The following is a 21,906-nucleotide window of genomic DNA, read 5'->3' on the forward strand; positions in this document are numbered from 1 at the left end:
TCAGTCTGATGATATAATCCTTAAGGCATTCACGGGCAGACCAAGGGCCAAGCTATCAAAGGGTTCAGCTTTTTCTTCTTTTTAAAAGCTGTTTACTATTCAGGAAATTTGGTAATTATTATTTTTTTCTTCTCCATGTAGTGGTATTACCCTCTTCCTTTTGATATTGGATCCTTTATGGGCCCCTAGCTTCATGCTCTAGAGAAAGGAGAAAGATGAAGGGACTGAATTCTGCAGCAGAATGCAATTTTCCTTAATGTCATCACTGCTGCTGAAGACCAGCTGAGGGCTTCCAAAAGAACGGGAACCCCCAGAGCAGTCAGAGAGTCCTCATGTTTCCAGGGGCAGAAGAGAGTGCTAATACCGTTTATTCTTTTACACCACAAACTTGTTTTTGTTTTTGTTTTTTTTGCATGTCACTCCACCAAAATACTTTCAGTGCTTTTGTACTAGGATTGAAAATGCGCACCAGAAGGGGAAAGAGAAGATTAAAATCATATTTTAAAAAAGTATTTGTTTAGAATGCCACGCTGAATTTGGTGTGGGAGGGTTACTAATCAATACTAATATCCTTGGAATATTACATGTTTATCATGGTTTTTCTTGAGTTCAGTATAGTGCCTTGCTTATAACAGGCAGCATGCAACAAATAATTGTTGGTTGAATGTTTGAGAAATGTAAAGCAAAGGAGCACAAACAGGATTGGTAATTTAACTCCATTTAGTTAAAAAATGACAAGTTTCTTGCACTAATGTGTGTCCTACAAAGCAAGACCATTTCTGCTAAATCGTGAGGCACTATGTTTAATCAGTTTAAATTTTGTCTCCCCCACTGAACTGTAACATGAGATCAGAGACTCAATGTTAATACTTTCATTATATACAACATCTTGCATATTGCTGGGTACATTGATTAATCATCTTAGAGTATGGTGAAGGGGAAGATTCAGCTTAAGATGGAACATGTTAAGTGGAAGTTAATGTGCAGGTATCCCCTTGGATAGTGCCAAGTATCCCTGTAGATGGGTAATAGTGGTCCAGGGGTAGGAAAATTTTTGTTCAGACTCCTCCTTTGATTGGGTCATATCTCTTCCTGCCCACATTCTCTCCAGAACTACCACTTTTCCCTCCTGATCTTACCTTATTAGGATATGAATGCACAGAAAAGGGGATGAGTTGAGCTGCACTGTCATAAGCTGTGATGACTGGTTAGCAGTCAGTTCGTGTGGATACTAATGAGATCATCACAGAGGTTCTATCCACTGGGGCACTAGTTTGGCCTTATTCCAAGCACATCCATGACATCCTTTCCTATAAATGTATTCTGCTTGGCCAGAGAGAATCAGGAAAGAGACAACCTTAATATATCTTCACAGAAGGTTATATTTTTTGGAAAAGGAATGCCAATCAATTGGATTTTCCCATAGGAGCCAAGGCATCATGTAGGCTTATGTGCCTGTGCCAGACTGTGTAATAAGACATAGAATATGTTTTCAAGGAGCATTCTATTTTCTCCTCTTTTGTGTTTTTCGTTGAAAATTTCCCCATCACAAACATAGGCACTGGAGATCAAGTTATGGCTTTCCAACTAGAATGACTTCTGCGTTCTTGAATTGCCATCTAAGTAGCACCTTGCACCTAGGATGTAAAGCATAATATGGAATGCTGGCCTTCTTAGTAATGACTATTTCACCTTTTGATTATTTACTACATTTCTGCTTTAGCATGTTAAAAACCCCCTATAGCTGAATTGAATGTTGACTAAATTAGAAGGCACACAATGCTGGGTTTGATCCAAAATCCACAAAATCAGAAGTATTTTCTATCTCAGCCATACACGCTACCTATAATGGTGAATAGCAACTGTAACTAGGCAGGGCTCTTCCTTTTGATCAGGTAAGAAATTTTAAAGAATTAAAGGATTGAAATTGTGTAGAGAGTAATGGGGCTGATGTATCTTTTAAAACCCCGGAATTTATAACAAATGAGAGTTGTTCCTCTAAGAAATTACCCTGGGATTCTATAGCTTATAAAAATGATTGCTCAAAACATTTCTGGAATGCCTCTTTTGGAAATGACTTGAGGGATTCTGCATCATCACTTACTTCAATGCTCTTTTCTTCTTGCTGGCTAATGTGGGTGCGCTCTGGGAAATCAAAGCTGCTCATGCTGAGGAATTAACTCTAAAAGCTGGGAGTATCCAGAGCAGAATAGTATCTTTGCCTAGAAAAATGGTGTCATTTTAGTGGTATTACTGAGATGGAACACACAGCAAGCAAAATGGTGGCCTAAAGCAACTGTGGGCCAGTGGTTGCAGACCTTGGGAACAAAGCTGCCAAAGGAAATCACAGCAGATTCCTAGAGGGATTGTGTCTACCTGGGCAGCCCCAGATATTCCGGGTTTCCTTACTTGAGAGAGAGCTTGTTCTAGGACAGCAGCCCTATCTGGAAGTTTCTGAGATATTCTAAGGAAGTTTTCAAGAAGAATTAGACTAGCTGTAAGTCCCTTCCTTACTCATCTTCCCTCTCAAATACAACAACAACAAAAAAAAACAAAAATGAATGTGTTTGACTAGAATTCAGACTAGTAGGGCTAAACAGTGGAATTATGAAAGTTTACTGATGACATAAATGATGAAAGAGCATTTGTAGTTTAAGAAATTACAGCCACATGGCCAACCACAGGTTTCTGAATGCCCCCAACATAATCTTCCAAAGTGCTGACCACGGAAAAACTCCGCACTCACGACTCAGCTCAGGCCTGCTACCTAGCTGGTGCTGGAATTGTGGGGAATCTTGTGCTCCAGCCTACACAAAATACTGGCAGCTGGAGGTAGAGAAATTGTCCTCTTTGCTCCTTATTGATACTTCTAGGTTGTTATCCCTTTCTTCTCCCTAATTTCCCTGCTGCCCCAGGTTTTGGAAATGATGCTATCAGTCTACAGACTCCCAAGACCACTCTCCCTCATTTCTTGAAGATTTTATTCCTGGATCATTATCATTGTCTCTAGTGCTTCTCCCAGCATAGTTTTTGTGGTTTCATGTTGAAGTAAATGATCTTATAATACCGTAGACTCTTGACCTTCTGTCTTCCAGAGATTATGTTTTCCACTCTATATCAACAGTCATTCCTTGGGCCATATCTCGATCTTTGTCATTACCAAGAGTTGAACCCCCATAATCTTAATTTCAAGCTCTGACCAACATTGCCTCTCTTTCCAGTTCACTCCCTCAATTTGTTGACACCACCAGGACCTTCAATCAACTGATTTTTATCATCGTTCAACATCTCCACACTCCTCACATCCTCACTTCCCGCCTTGCCCTGGGTGAATGCCATGACCCTTACTCACACCCTGGCATCTGGCACATGTACTCAGGTCGTTTACCTCTTTGTCCGTTGTTTCAATCACCTGGCGAAGCCCAGCTCTAGGTTAAATCCAATTCTATCTACATTCTGTCTCCACCTACACCCACACAATGGAATGTGGTTGGAACAAAACAATCAACTGAGCTGACTGCTCTCATTGTAAATTCATGTTCCTTAGCATCAAGAGAGCCCTTAAATGCTGCCTGGCAGTTCTACTACATTTCCCTCTTCCCTAGATGACTATTTCACACCTCCTACTCCTCTCTCCTTAAACTTCCAACACATCCTCCCTCATCCCAGTCCTCTGCTGAGGACCTTGATTCCTATTTCACTGATAAAATTGAAGCAACAAGAGAACTTCTTCATGCTTTTTTTTTTTTTTTAACCACATGTAAAAATCCATCTGCTTCTGTGTCTATATATTCCTTCTCTCTTCTCTGGTCTCCCATCCAAATCCTGTCTACATGTGAACAGGTTGGATCCCATTCCTTCATACTTACTCAAGGACATTGCTCCAGTAATTGTCCTTTCTAACTTCTCAATCATCAAAGTCACCCTCTCTACTGGATCACTCCCATCCAAATATGCAATTATTTTTCTCATTCTAAAAAGTAACTGCTATGGTTTGGATGTGGTTTCTCCCCTCCTAAACTCATGTTGAAATTTAATTGCCAATGTAATGGTGTTGGGAGTTGGGGCCTTTAAGACGTGATTAAGTATTTAAGGCAGATTAATGTCTTTCTTGAAAGACAAGAGTGTTTTTTTTTTCTTTTCTTTTTTTTGGAATGGATTAGTTTTTGCAGGAATGGATTAGCTCCTGAGAGAGAAGAGTGGGTTGTTATAAAGTGAGGTGACCTCTACTGCTTTGTCCTTTTTTCCGCAAGCCCATTTCCTCTTCCATTTCTCCACCATGTTTTGACATGACATGAATGAGACCCTCACCAAAAGCTGCCAAATGCAGCTACCCCATCATGAACTTCCCAGCTTCTAGAACTATGAGCTACATAAACCTATTTTATTTATTAATTACCCTGTCTTGGGTATTCTGTTATAGCAACAAAAAATGGACTAAGACAGTAACAAAACCCTCTTTTGATTCCAAATCACTGTCATACTATTGCATTTTTCTGCTTCCTTTTTCAGCAATAGTCCTTGAAAGGGTTGTCAAGAACATTGTCTCCAATTTTTCTCTTTCCATTCCTTTTTAAATATATTCAGGTAGACTTTTGACCCCACTATCCACCCAAACTGCTTTAATCAAGGTCAACAGTGACCCACACATTGCTAAATCCAGTGATCCTTTTTCAGTCCTCACTGTACTTGACATAGACTAGTCTTTTTCCTGAAGATAGCTTTTCTACTTGGCTTTCAGGGCAATCAAAACTCTACCCTGCTTTTCCTTTTGTCATCTTGTGCTTCTTTTCTCAGGCTCTTTGCTGCATAGTTTCTCATTTCTCTCTACCTCTAAACAGGATCAGTCTTTGCACATCCTCTTTTCCCTGTCCATGCTCACTCATTTAGAGATTTCATCAAGACTCCTGACTGTAAATGCTATCTATATATTAATGACTTTGAAATTCATTAATTAATTAGCCTGGACCTCTCTCTGACTTCTACTTTTATTTATTTTTTATTTATCTTATTATATTTTAAGACAGGCTCTCACTCTTGCCCGGGCTGGAGTGCAGAGGCACAATCATGGCTCACTGCAGCCTCAACCTCCCAGGCTCAATTGATCCTCCCACCTAGGCCGCCTGAGTAGCTAGACCTACAGGCATGTGCCACCATGCCTGGCTACTTTATTTTTTTATTTTATTTTTTGTGGAGATGGGGGTCTCACTATGTTGCTCAGGCTGGTCTCAAACTCCAGGGTTCAAGAAACTTTCCTTCCTTGGCTTCACAAAGCGCTGGCATTACAGATGTGAGCCACCATGCCTGGCCAACTTCTACTTTCAGGTAGACAAGTGATCAATTAACATCTCCAAATGCCCAAAACCAAACTCCTAACCCTTCCATATCTGTTGCTCCTACAGTCTTTCCCATCTCAGTAAATGGAAAGTCTATTCTTTTAACTTCTCATGTCAAAAAGCTTTAAATTATCATTGACTTCTTTTTTTCTCTCAAATATCACAACCAATCTATCAGCAAATATTGTCAGCTCTACCTTAAAAGGTATCCCAAATCTTACCATGCCTTACCACTTCTATCTCCATTATTCTACTCCAAGCCTTCCCTTTTGCATGGTCAATCAAAATAGCCACCTAATTGGTCTTCCCACATCCATCTCTGACCCCTGTAGTCTATTTCTTAACATAATAGCCAACATGAACCTTTTATAACTTAAACCTACAATGGCTCCCCAGTCCTACTTCCCTAGAGTAAAAGCCAAAATCCTTACCATGGCCTGTAAAGCCTTGACCCCCATCAACATTCTGACCTCATCTACCACTTTCCCTCTCATTTACCTGACTCTAGCCACATTGGTCTCCTTGCTGCTCTTTAAACAAGTCAAGCATCCTTCTGCTTCAAGACCTTTGCATTTGATGTTCCCTCTGCCTGGACTGGTTTTCCCTCACGTATCACATTGCTTTCTTTCTCACTTCATTCAGTCTTCTGCTTAAATGAAACCATCCTTTGAAACTCTATTAAAACAAGCACCCTGTATTAGTTTGCTAGGGCTGCCATAACGAAATACCACAGACTAGTGGCTTAAACAGAAATTTATTTTCTCACAGTCGTGGAGGCTAGAATGCTGAGATTAAGGTCTGGCAGGTTTCACTTCTTCTGAGGCCGCTTTTCTTGGCTTTGTGGATGGCCACCCTCTTGCCATGTCCTCACATGGTCTTTTCTCCTGGTGTTCGCCTGTGTGTCCTAATCCCCTCTGCTTATAAATCAAATTGGGTTAGGATATGCCCTAATGGCCTCATTTTAACTTAATCATCTCTTTAAGGGGCCCATCTTCCAAAAGAGTCACATTCTGACATCCTGGGGACTAGGATCTCAACATGTAAATTTGGGGAAAACACAATTCAGTTCATAATGCTCCTTCTCCATTTTCTTTCTATTTCTACATAGCACTCATCACCTGGCAACCTGCCTTTCCTTGCTGGTTTATGGTCTGTATCTCTCCACTACAATGTCAATTCAAAGAGGGCAGGGATTTTTGTCTTTTTTGTTCACTGCTGTACACCCAGTGACTAGAACATTGCATGGCATATAATAAGCACTGAATAAATATTTGTAAAATGATCTAATGGATTTACATACTTACCTGTTCCGTGAAGCCATGTGAATTTGCAACCTCTAACCTCTCTCTTATCAGGGTTGTTTTCCATCAGTAAGCATTAATTTAGCATTTGCTCTGTGCTCAGCGTTGTGATTCATATTGGAGTAATTTGCAAAAACAAAAACACACATAAAAGCCCTCAATCTTTTTGCAACAATTTGTATTCCAAGACACTTACAAATAGGAACACATAAGAGTTTTTAAAAAGGATAGTAATTTATGGTACAAATTTCAACTGCAAAAAAACATATAAGTTGGTAACAAAGTACTCAGGGAAAACTTGTCTTTAAAATGGGGACAGTAATTCTTTTTTTTTTTTTTTTTTTTTTTTTTTTTTTGAGACGGAGTTTCGCTCTGTCGCCCAGGCTGGAGTGCAGTGGCGCGATCTCGACTCACTGCAAGCTCCGCCTCCCGGGTTCACGCCATTCTCCTGCCTCAGCCTCCCGTGTAGCTGGGACTACAGGCGCGCGCCACCACGCCCGGCTAATTTTTGTATTTTTAGTAGAGACGGGGTTTCACCGTGTTAGCCAGGATGGTCTCGATCTCCTGACCTCGTGATCCGCCCGTCTCGGCCTCCCAAAGTGCTGGGATTACAGGCGTGAGCCACCGCGCCCGGCCAGTAATTCTTATGTATTATAGGGGTTTGTGAAGATGAAATATCGTTATAGTTTACCAAACACTACTTCATATTAGGAAAATATTTGTAAGTTATAAGAAGAAAGACAGAGAGACCTGTGGGAGCCATATAAGCCCTCCTGTGGAAGGTTCCTGAGGCTCAAGAAGGAGTTAACTTGTCTGACAATGTCCAGGGGCCTGTTGGGCCCGGCCAGTCAATAAAAGCAGATCACAGATGTAATTCTTGTAACATGAGTCCTTGCTGGGTGCAACAGTGGGGCATGCTGAAGCCTTACAGAGGAGCCCCTCTCTAGCCTGCCCACACAGTTCAATTTGCTCTTAATAAAAATGCAATAAAAACCTAATTTGCCTCCAGACTGTTGAATACTTTTGATTCCAAATTATTTGGAATAGAAATCCTGACTCACAGTAATTTTGGAAAGAAGATGGATGAAGAATTCTTAAAAGAAAAAAGAAGGGAGAAAAAGAGATAAAGTGGCTGTATCTTACCAAACTGACAGTAAAGACACTGCAAGATTTAAAAAAATGTATGGGCCAAAGCTAAAATAATTTTTAGCAGCTATGCAGAAAGACTTTTGTGTTTCTAACAGCAGGTGGGGAAATTCAACCCTTTTTTTAAAGAGTCACATAATTTGGGGGAAGTAGGGCAATGCTAACTGCCATGTCTTCATTATGCCAAAGAAACTATTATAGATTCACTGAAGTCCCAAGTTTGGCTAGATTTTGAATTTGCTAATTCTTCTTCATCATGTTAGCACTGTCCAAAGTATTTGGCTCCTATGCCAAAGACATTAGATTAGTTTGCTGTGTATAGTAATAATAATATTTTATTTAGGTTTTAGATTATCTTCAGATTTCAATTATCTCGGTTGTCTCTTGTTAGTAAGAATAATGGCAAACTGTCTTTAATCTCAAATCATAATTATTTTCTTTTATGAGTTGCATCCATTGTCTCCCTTATCTTCTCTACCTTTATTATCTATCTAATCTGAAGTGTGCACAGGTTTTATACAAAACACATTAGGTACAAGAGTCTTTATTCTCACACAGTCTACTTGCCAGCCCACAACGAATACCACATTGGTCTGGTCTGGTCTAGACTAGTGTTCTGAACACTGAAGATTATAATAAGAGGTGGTGACAGCAAAGGTGGTAGTTTCCTTCTACGATATTGATGTCAGACATTTTCAGAAATAATTTGAACATTCCTAACTCATGCTTATTGGAATTTTATGACTTTCTCACTCATAAATCTAATCCATGCTCAACTGTTTTTATTTCTAGGCCATATAACCCTTTACAGGGTAATAAGTACTGTAATTTTACTACCCACTGTGAAAAATAACACCCCATTCTTGGTTTCAGTAAATCCTCATCGATTCTAAGATTCTAATATTGGTGAACTAATCTCTGTTCACCCTATCTACCAATGTAACTTAAATTATTTCCCCTTTTAGGATTTGCATAGACCCAGATGGCCTAAAATTTTAGGCTGTTTATAAATAATCACATATAAAAACTAAAACAATCTAGGCTAAATTGTTGTGAATTAATCTGAAGAAAAAGGGAAGCAGGAAATAGCAGAAAGTCAAGACAATAATTTTGTTTTCATAACATTATTTCTCTGTACTTCTCTCTCCAATGTAAACTCCTTCAGGATAGAAGGTGGTTTTTATTCATTTTTAGCTCTGCCCTCAACCACCTCCTGCTCCTGACCCACTTCACCCCAGCACAGTGATTCTCAAACATCTGTACATCTAGATCACCTGAAGGGTTTATTAAAATTGATTACAGAGCCCTATTCCTGGAGCTTCTCATTCAGTAGGTGTGGGGTGGAGTCTGCGGATATGCGTATCTGATGAGTTCCCAGGAGACTCTGATGCTGCTTGTCTGAGAACCATACCTGGAGAACTACTCGCTGCCTCAGCATATGGAAGGCTTTCACAAAATGTTGGTTGCATTGAATTGAAGCAACCTACTTGAAGGCAAGACATTAGACAAAGAGTCTAGTAAGATCAGTATATTAGTTGGGGTAGTACCTAAAGTACTGGAACCCAGAGATCCCAAGACAAAATAGCTTAAATATGATAAAAGTGATTTATCACACAACAGTCCAGAGGTAGGTGAGTAGTCCAGGGTAGAAAGGTAGCTGTGCGTGCTGAGTCCGGAAACCCAGGCTGAGGGGTTGACTCTGTCCATCTTTCCTTTGTGGTTTCCAGCAATGGGTCAAACATGCTGTTTCAGGATGTGTGGGCAAAGAGGAACACTTTGCTTTAAAAAAGAAGTGACTTTGAAATTGCACAAATCACTTTTGCTCATATCCCATTGGCTAGAACGAATTTACAGGCCCATACCTTGCTGTAGGGGTAGGGTGGGAAATTTAGTCTCTACCTTGGGCTATGTGCTCTGCTAAAATTCAGAGTGAGGGTTCCATTACTAAAAAATGATATGGACAGGACACAGTGAAATACTGGATAGAAGAGGATGATCTCCATGCAAAGGCCCCAGCCTCAAGCCTGGATCCTGGGGCCCTAAATGAGAATAGGCATTCCTGTTTTTATGCCCCAAAAGTTGCCTTTTGGCCCGCCATGCCTCCTGTCCTGCACCCATATAAGCCATGAATCCCAGGCTCCAGGGACAGACCAGCAAGCCAGCAGACCAGATGATGGATGGTGGAACAACGTGGCAGAGAAAAAGAGAAGAGGAGGAACATCTGAATGCCAAGAGAAGTTTGGCTGGGGGCAGTCAGAAAGGAGTCCAGCTGCTGGGTGGCCCAACTCCAGAGGAAGATCACCTTCCCATTCCATCCCCTTCTTCCAGCTCCCCATCCATCTCACTGCCACCTCCACCACTCAATAAAATCTTGCATTTATCCTCAAGCTTGCGTGTGACCTGATTCTTCCAGGACACTGGGCAAGAGCTCGGGATAAAGAAGGCTGTCACACTGGCCCTCTGCCTTTGCAAAAAGGCAGAGGGTCCACTGAGCTGATTAACACTCAAGCTGTCTGCAATGGCAAAGCTGAAAGAACTTTGTAGCACTGGGGTTGCAGGTACCCACCTCTAGATACTACTGTGGGGCCAGACCCAAAAGCGCTCTCCCTGGGCCCTGCACATGCCCATCTGTATGCTCCCCCTCTGGCTAGGGATTTGAGCAGTGAGGTGACCGAACAGGTGAGCCACAACCCTGTCACACATCCTGCGAGAGGTATCAGGGAACTCTCCCACTTCAAAAGGAGGAAAAAGAGACTGGATACTGGCGGATAGTTGGCAGTTTCTGTCACAAAAACTTTATGGCAAATATACGTGTACAGTGACAAAAATCTGAGCAATAGATACAATTAGGGTTCTCTATGTATTTGTACATATTTTGGGGGGGAATAAAGTGAGATAGGGAAGCAATTACGCTTAATACAGATGTTGTTAATTTGGTATTAATATGGATCTAAAAGCAAGACCCTTTCATTTATATCAACATGTCAATACGCCAGTGTATCAAAGGAGCATGAGAATGTCCTGTACTCACTAGAGGAGCATGGAGGAACACATGGTTTGGTGAATATGAAGTTGTAGGTGTGAGAAATGCATGGAAGTCCAGAATGGAAGCCTTGATAGTAGCTGGGGCAGAAAGAACAATGGGACTGACAGTGGGTAAGAGTGAGACACATGGTGGTAGTTGTTGCAGAATAGTGGGAGGAGAGGAAGAGCACAAGAGACACTCAGTTACAATATAAGCGTGTAGTGTTAGACATCAAGGGAGACCATGGAAGAGAGTAATGTAACCTACATGGGAGGCAGGGAAAAGCTTGACAGGAACATTTTACACGTTACAAACAGCAACAACAGCATGGGCGGGAGTTCTGAAGCACCAAGCTAGAAGAGTGCCAAAGTTGAAAAGGGCTCAGGAAGGGGTTTGTTTCTTTAGCAAAAAGCAGAAAAAGCAATAGATAAGAGAAATGACAGCAGTAGCTGAATTGGACATCAACCGCGATACAGGGAAGGGGGAAGAGATGAATTCAGGATGCCCCAGAGGCAAAAGCAAATGACCATTATGCATAAATGTGGGTGCACACTAATCACCAGGGAATTCTTTGTCTTTGTGCTGAGTTAGAGGAGCTTTAAAGATGACTAGAAAACAGCAAGTAGAAGGGGGAGGAGCCAAGATGGCCGAATAGGAACAGCTCTGGTCTACAGCTCCCAGCGTGAGCGACGCAGAAGACGGGTGATTTCTGCATTTCCATCTGAGGTACCGGGTTCATCTCACTAGGGAGTGCCAGACAGTGGGCACAGGTCAGTGGGTGCGCGCCCCATGCGCAAGCCGAAGCAGGGCGAGGCATTGCCTCATTCAGGAAGCGCAAGGGGTCATGGAGTTCCCTTTCTTAGTCAAAGAAAGTGGTGACAGACGGCACCTGGAAAATCGGGTCACTCCCACCCGAATACTGCGATTTTCCAACGGGCTTAAAAAACGGCACACCAGGAGATTATATCCCACACGTGGCCCACCAGTCAGTCTCACTGATTGCTAGCACAGGGGTCTGAGATCAAACTGCAAGGCAGCAGCCAGGCTGGGGGAGGGGCGCCCACCATTGCCCAGGCTTGCTTAGGTAAACAAAGCAGCCTGGAAGCTCAAACTGGGTGGAGCCCACCACAGCTCAAAGGAAGCCTGCCTTCCTCTGTAGGCTCCACCTCTGGGGGCAGGGCACAGACAAACAAAAAGACAGCAGTAACCTCTGCAGACTTAAATGTCCCCATCTGACAGCTTTGAAGAGAGCAGTGGTTCTCCCAGCACGCAGCTGGAGATCTGAGAACAGGCAGACTGCCTCCTCAAGTGGGTCCCTGACCCCTGACCCCTGAGTAGCCTAACTGGGAGGCATCCCCCAGCAGGGGCACACTGACACCTCACACGGCCGGGTACTCCAAAAGACCTGCAGCTGAAGGTCCTGTCTGTTAGAAGGAAAACTAAAAAATGGAAAGGACATCCACACCAAAACCCCATCTGTACATCACCATCATCAAAGACCAAAAGTAGATAAAACCACAAAGATGGGGAAAAAACAGAGCAGAAAAACTGGAAACTCTAAAAAGCAGAGCGCCTCTCCTCCTCCAAAGGAACGCAGTTCCTCACCAGCAACGGAACAAAGCTGGACGGAGAATGACTTTGACGAGCTGAGAGAAGAAGGCTTCAGACGATCAAATTACTCCGAGCTATGGGAGGACATTCAAACCAAAGGCAAAGAAGTTGAAAATTTTGACAAAATTTTAGAAGAATGTATAACTAGAATAACCAATACAGAGAAGTGCTTAAAGGAGCTGATGGACCTGAAAACCAAGGCTTGAGAACTACGTGAAGAATGCAGAAGCCTCAGGAGCCGATGAGATCAACTGGAAGAAAGGGTATCAGCGATGGAAGATGAAATGAATGAAATGAAGTGAGAAGGGAAGTTTAGAGAAAAAAGAATAGAAAGAAACGAGCAAAGCCTCCAAGAAATATGGGACTATGTGAAAAGACCAAATCTACGTCTGATTGGTGTACCTGAAAGTGACGGGGAGAATGGAACCAAGTTGGAAAACACTCTGCAGGATGTTATCCAGGAGAACTTCCCCAATCTAGCAAGGCAGGCCAACATTCAGATTCAGGAAATACAGAGAACGCCACAAAGATACTCCTTGAGAAGAGCAACACGAAGACACACATTTGTGAGATTCACCAAAGTTGAAATGAAGGAAAAAATGTTAAGGGCAGCCAGAGAGAAAGGTCGGGTTACCCTCAAAGGGAAGCCCATCAGACTAACAGCAGATCTCTCAGCAGAAACTCTACAAGCCAGAAGAGAGTGGGGGGCCAATATTCAACATTCTTAAAGAAAAGAATTTTCAAACCAGAATTTCATATCCAGCCAAACTAAGCTTCATAAGTGAAGGAGAAATAAAATACTTTACAGACAAGCAAATGCTGAGAGAGTTTGTCACCACCAGGCCTGCCCTAAAAGAGCTCCTGAAGGAAGTGCTAAACATGGAAAGGAACAACTGGTACCAGCCACTGCAAAATCATGCCAAAATGTAAAGACCATCGAGACTAGGAAGAAACTGCATCAACTAACGAGCAAAATAACCAGCTAACATCATAATGACAGGATCAAATTCACACATAACAATATTAACTTTAAATGTAAATGGACTAAATGCTCCAATTAAAAGACACAGACTGGCAAATTGGATAAAGAGTCAAGACCCATCAGTGTGCTGTATTCAGGAAACCCATCTCACAGGCAGAGACACACATAGGCTCAAAATAAAAGGATGAAGATCTACCAAGCAAATGGAAAACACAAAAAGGCAGGGGTTGCAATCCTAGTCTCTGATAAAACAGACTTTAAACCAACAAAGATCAAAAGAGACAAAGAAGGCCATTACATAATGGTAAAGGGATCAATTCAACAAGAAGACCTAACTATCCTAAATACATATGCACCCAATACAGGAGCACCCAGATTCATAAAGCAAGTCCTGAGTGACCTACAAAGAGACTTAGACTCCCACACAATAATAATGGGAGACTTTAACACCCCACTGTCAACATTAGACAGATCAACGAGACAGAGAGTCAACAAGGATACCCAGGAATTGAACTCAGCTCTGCACCAAGCGGACCTAATAGACATCTACAGAACTCTCCACCCCAAATCAACAGAATATACATTTTTTTCAGCACCACACCACACCTATTCCAAAATTGACCACATGCTTGGAAGTAAAGCTCTCCTCAGCAAATGTAAAAGAACAGAAATTATAACAAACTATCTCTCAGACCACAGTGCAATCAAACTAGAACTCAGGATTAAGAATCTCACTCAAAACCGCTCAACTACATGGAAACTGAACAACCTGCTCCTGAATGACTACTGGGTACATAATGAAATGAAGGCAGAAATAAAGATGTTCTTTGAAACCAATGAGAACAAAGACACAACATACCAGAATCTCTGGGACACATTCAAAGCAATGTGTAGAGGGAAACTGATAGCACTAAGTGCCCACAAGAGAAAGCAGGAAAGATCCAAAACTGACACCCTAACATCGCAATTAAAAGAACTAGAAAAGCAAGAGCAAACAAATTCAAAAGCTAGCAGAAGGCAAGAAATAACTAAAATCAGAGCAGAACTGAAGGAAATAGAGACACAAAAAACCCTTCAAAAAATTAACGAATCCAGGAGCTGGTTTTTTGAAAGGATCAACAAAATTGATAGACCGCTAGCAAGACTAATAAAGAAAAAAAGAGAGAAGAATCAAATAGATGCAATAAAAAATGATAAACGGGATATCACCACTGATCCCACAGAAATACAAACTACCATCAGAGAATACTACAAATACCTCTACGCAAATAAACTAGAAAATCTAGAAGAAATGGATAAATTCCTCGACACATACACTCTCCCAAGACTAAACCAGGAAGAAGTTGAATCTCTGAATAGACTAATAACAGGAGCTGAAATTGTGGCAATAATCAATAGCTTACCAATGAAAAAGAGTCCAGGACCAGATGGATTCACAGCCGAATTCTACCAGAGGTACAAGGAGGAACTGGTACCATTCCTTCTGAAACTATTCCAATCAATAGAAAAAGAGGGAATCCTCCCTAACTCATTTTATGAGGCCAGCATCATCCTGATACCAAAGCCGGGCAGAGACACAACCAAAAAAGAGAATTTTAGACCAATATCCTTGATGAACATCGATGCAAAAATCCTCAATAAAATACTGGCAAACCGAATCCAGCAGCACATCAAAAAGCTTATCCACCAAGATCAAGTGGGCTTCATCCCTGGGATGCAAGGCTGGTTCAATATACGCAAATCAATAAATGTAATCCAGCATATAAACAGAACCAAAGACAAAAAACACATGATTATCTAAATAGATGCAGAAAAGGCCTTTGACAAAATTCAACAACCCTTCATGCTAAAAACTCTCAATAAATTAGGTATTGATGGGATGTATCTCAAAATAATAAGAGCTATCTATGACAAACCCACAGCCAATATCATACTGAATGGGCAAAAAGTGGAACATTCCCTTTGAAAACTGGCACAAGACAGGGATGTCCTCTCTCACCACTCCTATTCAACATAGTGTTGGAAGTTCTGGCCAGGGCAATTAGGCAGGAGAAGGAAATAAAGGGTATTCAATTAGGAAAAGAGGAAGTCAAATTCTCCCTGTTTGCAGACAACATGATTGTATATCTAGAAAACCCCATTGTCTCAGCCCAAAATCTCCTTAAGCTGATGAGCAACTTCAGCAAAGTCTCAGGATACAAAATCAATGTACAAAAATCACAAGCATTCTTATACACCAACAACAGACAAACAGAGAGCCAAATCATGAGTGAACTCCCATTCACAATTGCTTCAAAGAGAATAAAATACCTAGGAATCCAACTTCCAAGGGATGTGAAGGACCTCTTCAAGGAGAACTACCAACCACTGCTCAGTGAAATAAAAGAGGACACAAACAAATGGAAGAACATTCCATGCTCATGGGTAGGAAGAATCAATATTGTGAAAATGGCCATACTGCCCAAGGTAATTTACAGATTCAATGCCATCCCCATCAAGCTACCAATGACTTTCTTCACAGAATTGGAAAAAACTACTTTAAAGTTCATATGGAACCAAAAAAGAGCCTGCATCGCCAAGTCAATCCTAAGCCAAAAGAACAAACCTGGAGGCATCACACTACCTGACTTCAAACTATACTACAAGGCTACAGTAACCAAAACAGCATGGTACTGGTACCAAAACAGAGATATAGATCAATGGAACAGAACAGAGCCCTCAGAAATAACGCCGCATATCTACAACTATCTGATCATTGACAAACCTGAGAAAAACAAGCAATGGGGAAAGGATTCCCTATTGAATAAATGGTGCTGGGAAAACTGGCTAGCCATATGTAGAAAGCTGAAACTGGATCCCTTCCTTACACCTTATACAAAAATCATTTCAAGATGGATTAAAGACTTAAACGTTAGACCTAAAACCATAAAAGCCCTAGAAGAAAACCTAGGCATTACCATTCAGGACATGGGCAAGGACTTCATGTCTAAAACACCAAAAGCAATGGTAACAAAAGCCAGAATTGACAAATGGGATCTAATTAAACTAAAGAGCTTCTGCACAGCAAAAGAAACTACCATCAGAGTGAACAGGCAACCTACAACATGGGAGAAAATTTTCGCAACCTACTCATCTGACAAAGGGCTAATATCCAGAATCTACAATGAACTCAAACAAATTTACAAGAAAAAAACAAACAACCCCATCAAAAAGTGGGCAAAGGACATGAACAGACACTTCTCAAAAGAAGACATTTATGCAGCCAAAAACCACATGAAAAAATGCTTACCATCACTGGCCATCAGAGAAATGCAAATCAAAACCACAATGAGATACCATTTCACACCAGTTAGAATGGCAATCATTAAAAAGTCAGGAAACAACAGGTGCTGGAGAGGATGTGGAGAAATAGGAACACTTTTACACTGTTGGTGGGACTGTAAACTAGTTCAACCATTGTGGAAGTCAGTGTGGCGATTCCTCAGAGATCTAGAACTAGAAATACCATTTGACTCAGCCATCCCATTACTGGGTATATACCCAAAGGACTATAAATCATACTGCTATAAAGACACATGCACACGTATGTTTATTGCGGCATTATTCACAATAGCAAAGACTTGGAACCAACCCAAATGTTCAACAATGATAGACTGGATTAAGAAAATGTGGCACATATACACCACGGAATACTATGCAGCCATAAAAAATGATGAGTTCATGTCCTTTGTAGGGACATGGATGAAATTGGAAATCATCATTCTCAGTAAACTATCGCAAGAACAAAAAACCAAACACCACATATTCTCACTCATAGGTGGGAATTGAACAATGAGAACACATGGACACAGGAAGGGGAATATCACACTCTGGGGACTGTGGTGGGGTTGGGGGAGGGGGCAGGGATAGCATTGGGAGATATACCTAATGCTAGATGTCGAGTTAGTGGGTGCAGCCCACCAGCATGGCACATGTACACATATGTAACTAACCTGCACATTGTGCATATGTACCCTAAAACTTAAAGTATATTAATAATAATAATAAAAAAAAGAAAACAGCAAGTAGAAAAGGAAGGCACAGAAAAAATGAAAGCATAATAATTCACTGAGGAATCAGCAACCTCAGAAATTCTATTTGTTAATTTTTCTATAAGGGGCCCAGGAGAGGAAACTATAATAAAATAATATTGTGGCCTTCATCCTCATGAGTCCTCACCTCCTCCTTCAGTGCAGGAACTTTCTTCTGGAATATTGCTGAGGATCAACACCTTTCCTGCTCACTGGCCGTCCGGTTCATGGTGGGAACACTTCTCTCCCCAGGGCTGGTTCCCACACTCATGTCTGAATAAGCCACGCAGTCTCTCATTAAAACAAAAAAAAGTCGTTACAGAAGCCTCTTTTTGGGGGAGGCTACTGCAAACTCAGGGAACTCGCTGAACAACCTATTTATTGGAACTGACAATTGTTCGCAATGGGTTTCCCTACAGGACAGGCTGGTGTGGGGAGATCTGGTGGTAAAGGCCAAGCACGTAGCACTTCTTCAGCACTGCATTTACAGATAGGAAATGGGACATGGCTTTCTTCCCAGGAAGAGCCTGTATGTTTATATTACTCCCACAAAGGGAAATCTGTAAAACCAGACCATTTTGTCCTAGAGTCATATAAAGTCATATCATTTGATTTTCAGAAACACTTAGAAGAAAAGGACGACTGTAGGCCTGCTTTACTATGTGCATAGGTGGGTAGAAGTGAGGAGGGCATATTATAAAATGAATTTGCATTCCATTGAGCCAACATGGTTATATCAAATATTAAATATTTTATTTATTCAAGGACTACTAAGTGATTGTGACATCTAGAGGCCACATTCCCAGTAATTAAGAGCAAATGCCATAGCTAATGCACAGGAGAGGGACAAGACTCAGAAGACTTTGGTTATAATTCCTATTCGACCTCTCACTGGCTTTCCATGTCCATCTCTACATAGACAAGGAGCCTGAGGGTAGAGACTGTGTCTCATTTCTAATTCTTCGTACTTGGATTGTACCTGCAAAACAGGCACTCCACAAATGCTTGTTCACTGAGTATATTAGGTGAATCCACATGGAACTGCCAGTGTTTTTGGTAAAAAATAGTAATCAAATATTACAATTTCATGTGACTCAACATAATATTTCCATCTAATTTTGTCCACATATTGTATGAATTTGCCTTTCCCTAAATGTGCTCATGTTTCTGTGCCCTACTTTTTAATTGAAAAGCCCTTTCTCCTGTCCTATATCGATCATATTCCTTCCTTGAACATTCTTGTGAATTACTCATTCCCAGGCACACCCAGCATTTGCTAGCTGGTATCTCTGTGTGTCCTCCTCTAAATTGTAGTCATATTGCATTTCCTCAGTGCCTACACAAACATTTGTCATAATGTTGAATTACCTATCTAAGGATAAAGTCACTATAGCTCTGAAACCCAGTTTCCTTCCTAGAGAAAGAAGATAATCCCTGCCTGGCCAATATAACAGAACTGTTGAGAGTTAACATATGAGGACTTAAAATGATTAACAGTAAAGCCTCCAGGTTGTTCTTCTTAAAGGGGGTGGTTTGAAAATGTTAAGTGCTATTAATAGGCAATTTGTTTTCAGCTCAATCTCAGGGAGGGATTGACTTCCTAGCCAAAACATTTCAAAAGATGCATCCAGTTGACAGACTGAAAAGAGAATGTCGATCACATAGGGAGGACACACAAAGAGAACACAGACAGAGTCCTTGTGTTGAAGAGAAAGAGACCAAGAATTGTCACATGCACAATTATTCCCTTTAACTAGTAACAGGGGCACACAGCACTTGATAGGGTGAACTGAAAGAAATCAAAGGCTGCATGTGAGAGCAAACTAAGGACTGCTCTGTGTACAAATGAAGAACTTTTGGGGGAATAATTATAACAGCATTAAAGTAAGGAGAGGGGAGGGGAAAAGGAGGCAAGGAGGGAGAAGTGAGGGCTAAGAATATCATAGGACACACAAGAGAGTATCACAAGTACTTGGAGAAGATTCTAGACTCAATGAAGAGTGGCAGACTACTCCCTTAGGCACAATAGTTAAGGGATATTTCTTAGTTCTTAATTGGGAGAAGCTAGAGACTCATAATAAATATGTGACTTTTGGCAAGTTGCTGAATGTTACTTTAAAAACTGGTATTAATAGTTCCTATCTTATAGAGCTGATATAAACATGAAATAAGACATTGAACATAAACACACTTACAAAGTGCTCAGCATATGGCAAGTATATAATACATATTGTAATAGCTCTTATTATTTAACATTGTTTGGCAAACTATATGGTCATTCTCAAGTAATGTTTTTACTATATTCAAGAATTGTCCAGTTGAAGAACTCTCCAGGAAGAGTCTTGAACTTTACGTATTTGATCTATTATAAGCAAAACCAGTAAACTGAATACTGAAGAAGCAGTATCTATAGATGGTTCTATGACAGAAATGTTCTCCACCTATATTTATCCACTATGACAGGCATTAACCACATGAAGCCACAGGGCACTTGAATGTGCTGCTAAGAAAGCAATTTTTAAAATTTAATTATTTCAATTTAAATGGACACATACCATATTGGACAGTGTTGCCCCCCATACGTACCAAAAGACCTTATACAGGTCACTGTGGCCTAGTGGGGCTCTGGATTAGGTGACCTGGATTTGAAACCAGAATCTTCCCTTTAGAAGCTGAACTACATTAAGCAAGTAACTCAGCCTCCCATGCCTCAGTTTCAACTTTTGCAATCTGAGGTTGATAACAGTATCTACTTTATTGGCTTGTAAATTAAATTAGAGAATGCAAATAAAGCAATGGTTCTCAAAGTTCAGCATGCCATCAGTATCACCTGGAAGGCGAAGACACCAATTGCTGGGTTCATCCTCTAGGTTTTTTACTCAACAGGTCTGAGGGAGTCAGATAATTTGCATTCCTAATGAGTTCCCAGGTGATGCTCATGTTGCCGGTCTGGGGACCACACTTGGAAAAACACTGTTATAAGCCATTCAGTATGGTGCCTGATACACAATGAGAACTCAATAGTGTTATTATGATAAGCATCTTGATGGTGTACATCAGTAGGGCTTTTGCAAAAAAAAATTCACACTTTATTAGAAATCTCTAGCCCATTTTTTGACACATACTTTTGATAAATGTTTATGGGTCACCTACAAAGGGCAAGACACCCCCACTGTGTTGAGTGACCAGCTGTCAAAGTCGGTTTGAAGCAGGGTTTCAGAGCACCAGTTACAGGACCATTATTATTACCACCTGAAATATTTTTCACCATTTCAACTTCCCACAAAACATACAGAAAAAAAAAAATTAGGTTTCTCTCCAATGTGTCATCTCCATTAGAAAGATTGTGAAGGGCCTATAAACAATAAGTGGAAGGGATGTGAAAATAGATCTAGATTCCATACTTGTTGGCTCTTTTATCAACTTCCTGAGATCACTGGGTGTGATGGATTTTTTTTTTTTTTTTTTGAGACGGAGTCTCGCTCTGTTGCCCAGGCTGGGGTGTAGTGGTTTGATCTCGGCTCACTGCAAGCTCCACCTCCTGGGTTCACACCATTCTTCTGCCTCAGCCTCCCTAGTAGCTGGGACTACAGGCGCCCCCCACCACACTCAGCTAATTTTTTTTTTTTGTATTTTAAGTAGAGACGGGGTTTTCACCATGTTAGCCAGGATGGTCTCCATCTCCTGACCTCGTGATCCGCCCGCCTCGGTCTCCCAAAGTGCTGGGATTACAGGCGTGAGCCACCGTGCCCGGCCGTGATGGATAATTTTATGTGTCAACTTGACTGAGTTAAGGGATATCCAGATAGCTGGTAAAGCATTACTCTGAGCGCGTGTGTGAGGGTGTTTCTGGAAGAGATTGGCCTTTGAATCAGTAGACTCAATAAAGGAGATACGCCCTCATCGATGTGGGCTGACATCCAATCAGTTGAGGGACTGACTAGAAGAAAAAGACAGAGGAAGGGCAAATTTGCTGTCTTCTTGAGCTGGAACTTCACCTCTCCTGCCCTAGGACATCACAGCTCCTGGTTCTCAGGCCTTTAGACTCTGGGACTTACAGTGGCCCCCAGGTTCTCAAGCCTTCAGCCTTGGACTGACAGTTACATCATTGGTTCCCCTGGTTCTCCAGCCTAAGGACTTGGACTGTATCACACCATCATCTCTCTTGGGTCCAGCTTGCACATAGCCTATCATGGAACTTCTCAGCCTTCATAATTGGGTGAGCTAATCCCCATAATAAATTCTCTAATATATAGATATATATCCTATTGGTTTTGTTTCTCTGAAGAATCCTGATTAATACTGATTAACCGGATAAGATTCTCTTAATAATTATGGGCCAAGTTTGGACTTGAACAGTTGGGTCACTTAAAAAAAATAACAACAGGTTGCAAACAAGTCCACCCTCACCAATGCATAGACTTCGGTCCCTGGA

At 41.2% G+C, this 21,906-nt stretch overlaps 2 annotated features.

Annotated features, from left to right (window-relative positions):
- Nucleotides 7,893-8,062: an enhancer, noted in NCBI's record as "experimental_115 CRE fragment used in MPRA reporter constructs". NCBI's record gives its function as "activates a minimal promoter by MPRAs in K562 erythroleukemia cells, with activity observed for the introgressed 1:119559796 or rs1325930 variant allele {active_cell/tissue: K562}" and the evidence as "EXISTENCE:reporter gene assay evidence [ECO:0000049][PMID:34662402]".
- Nucleotide 7,978: a transcriptional cis regulatory region, noted in NCBI's record as "Neanderthal adaptively introgressed variant 1:119559796 (GRCh37/hg19 assembly coordinates) or rs1325930 in the experimental_115 CRE". NCBI's record gives its function as "modulates activity of the experimental_115 enhancer by MPRAs in K562 erythroleukemia cells {active_cell/tissue: K562}" and the evidence as "EXISTENCE:reporter gene assay evidence [ECO:0000049][PMID:34662402]".

The sequence above is a fragment of the Homo sapiens genome, chromosome 1 (genome assembly GCF_000001405.40).
Source record: "Homo sapiens chromosome 1, GRCh38.p14 Primary Assembly".
Lineage (NCBI taxonomy): Eukaryota > Metazoa > Chordata > Mammalia > Primates > Hominidae > Homo > Homo sapiens.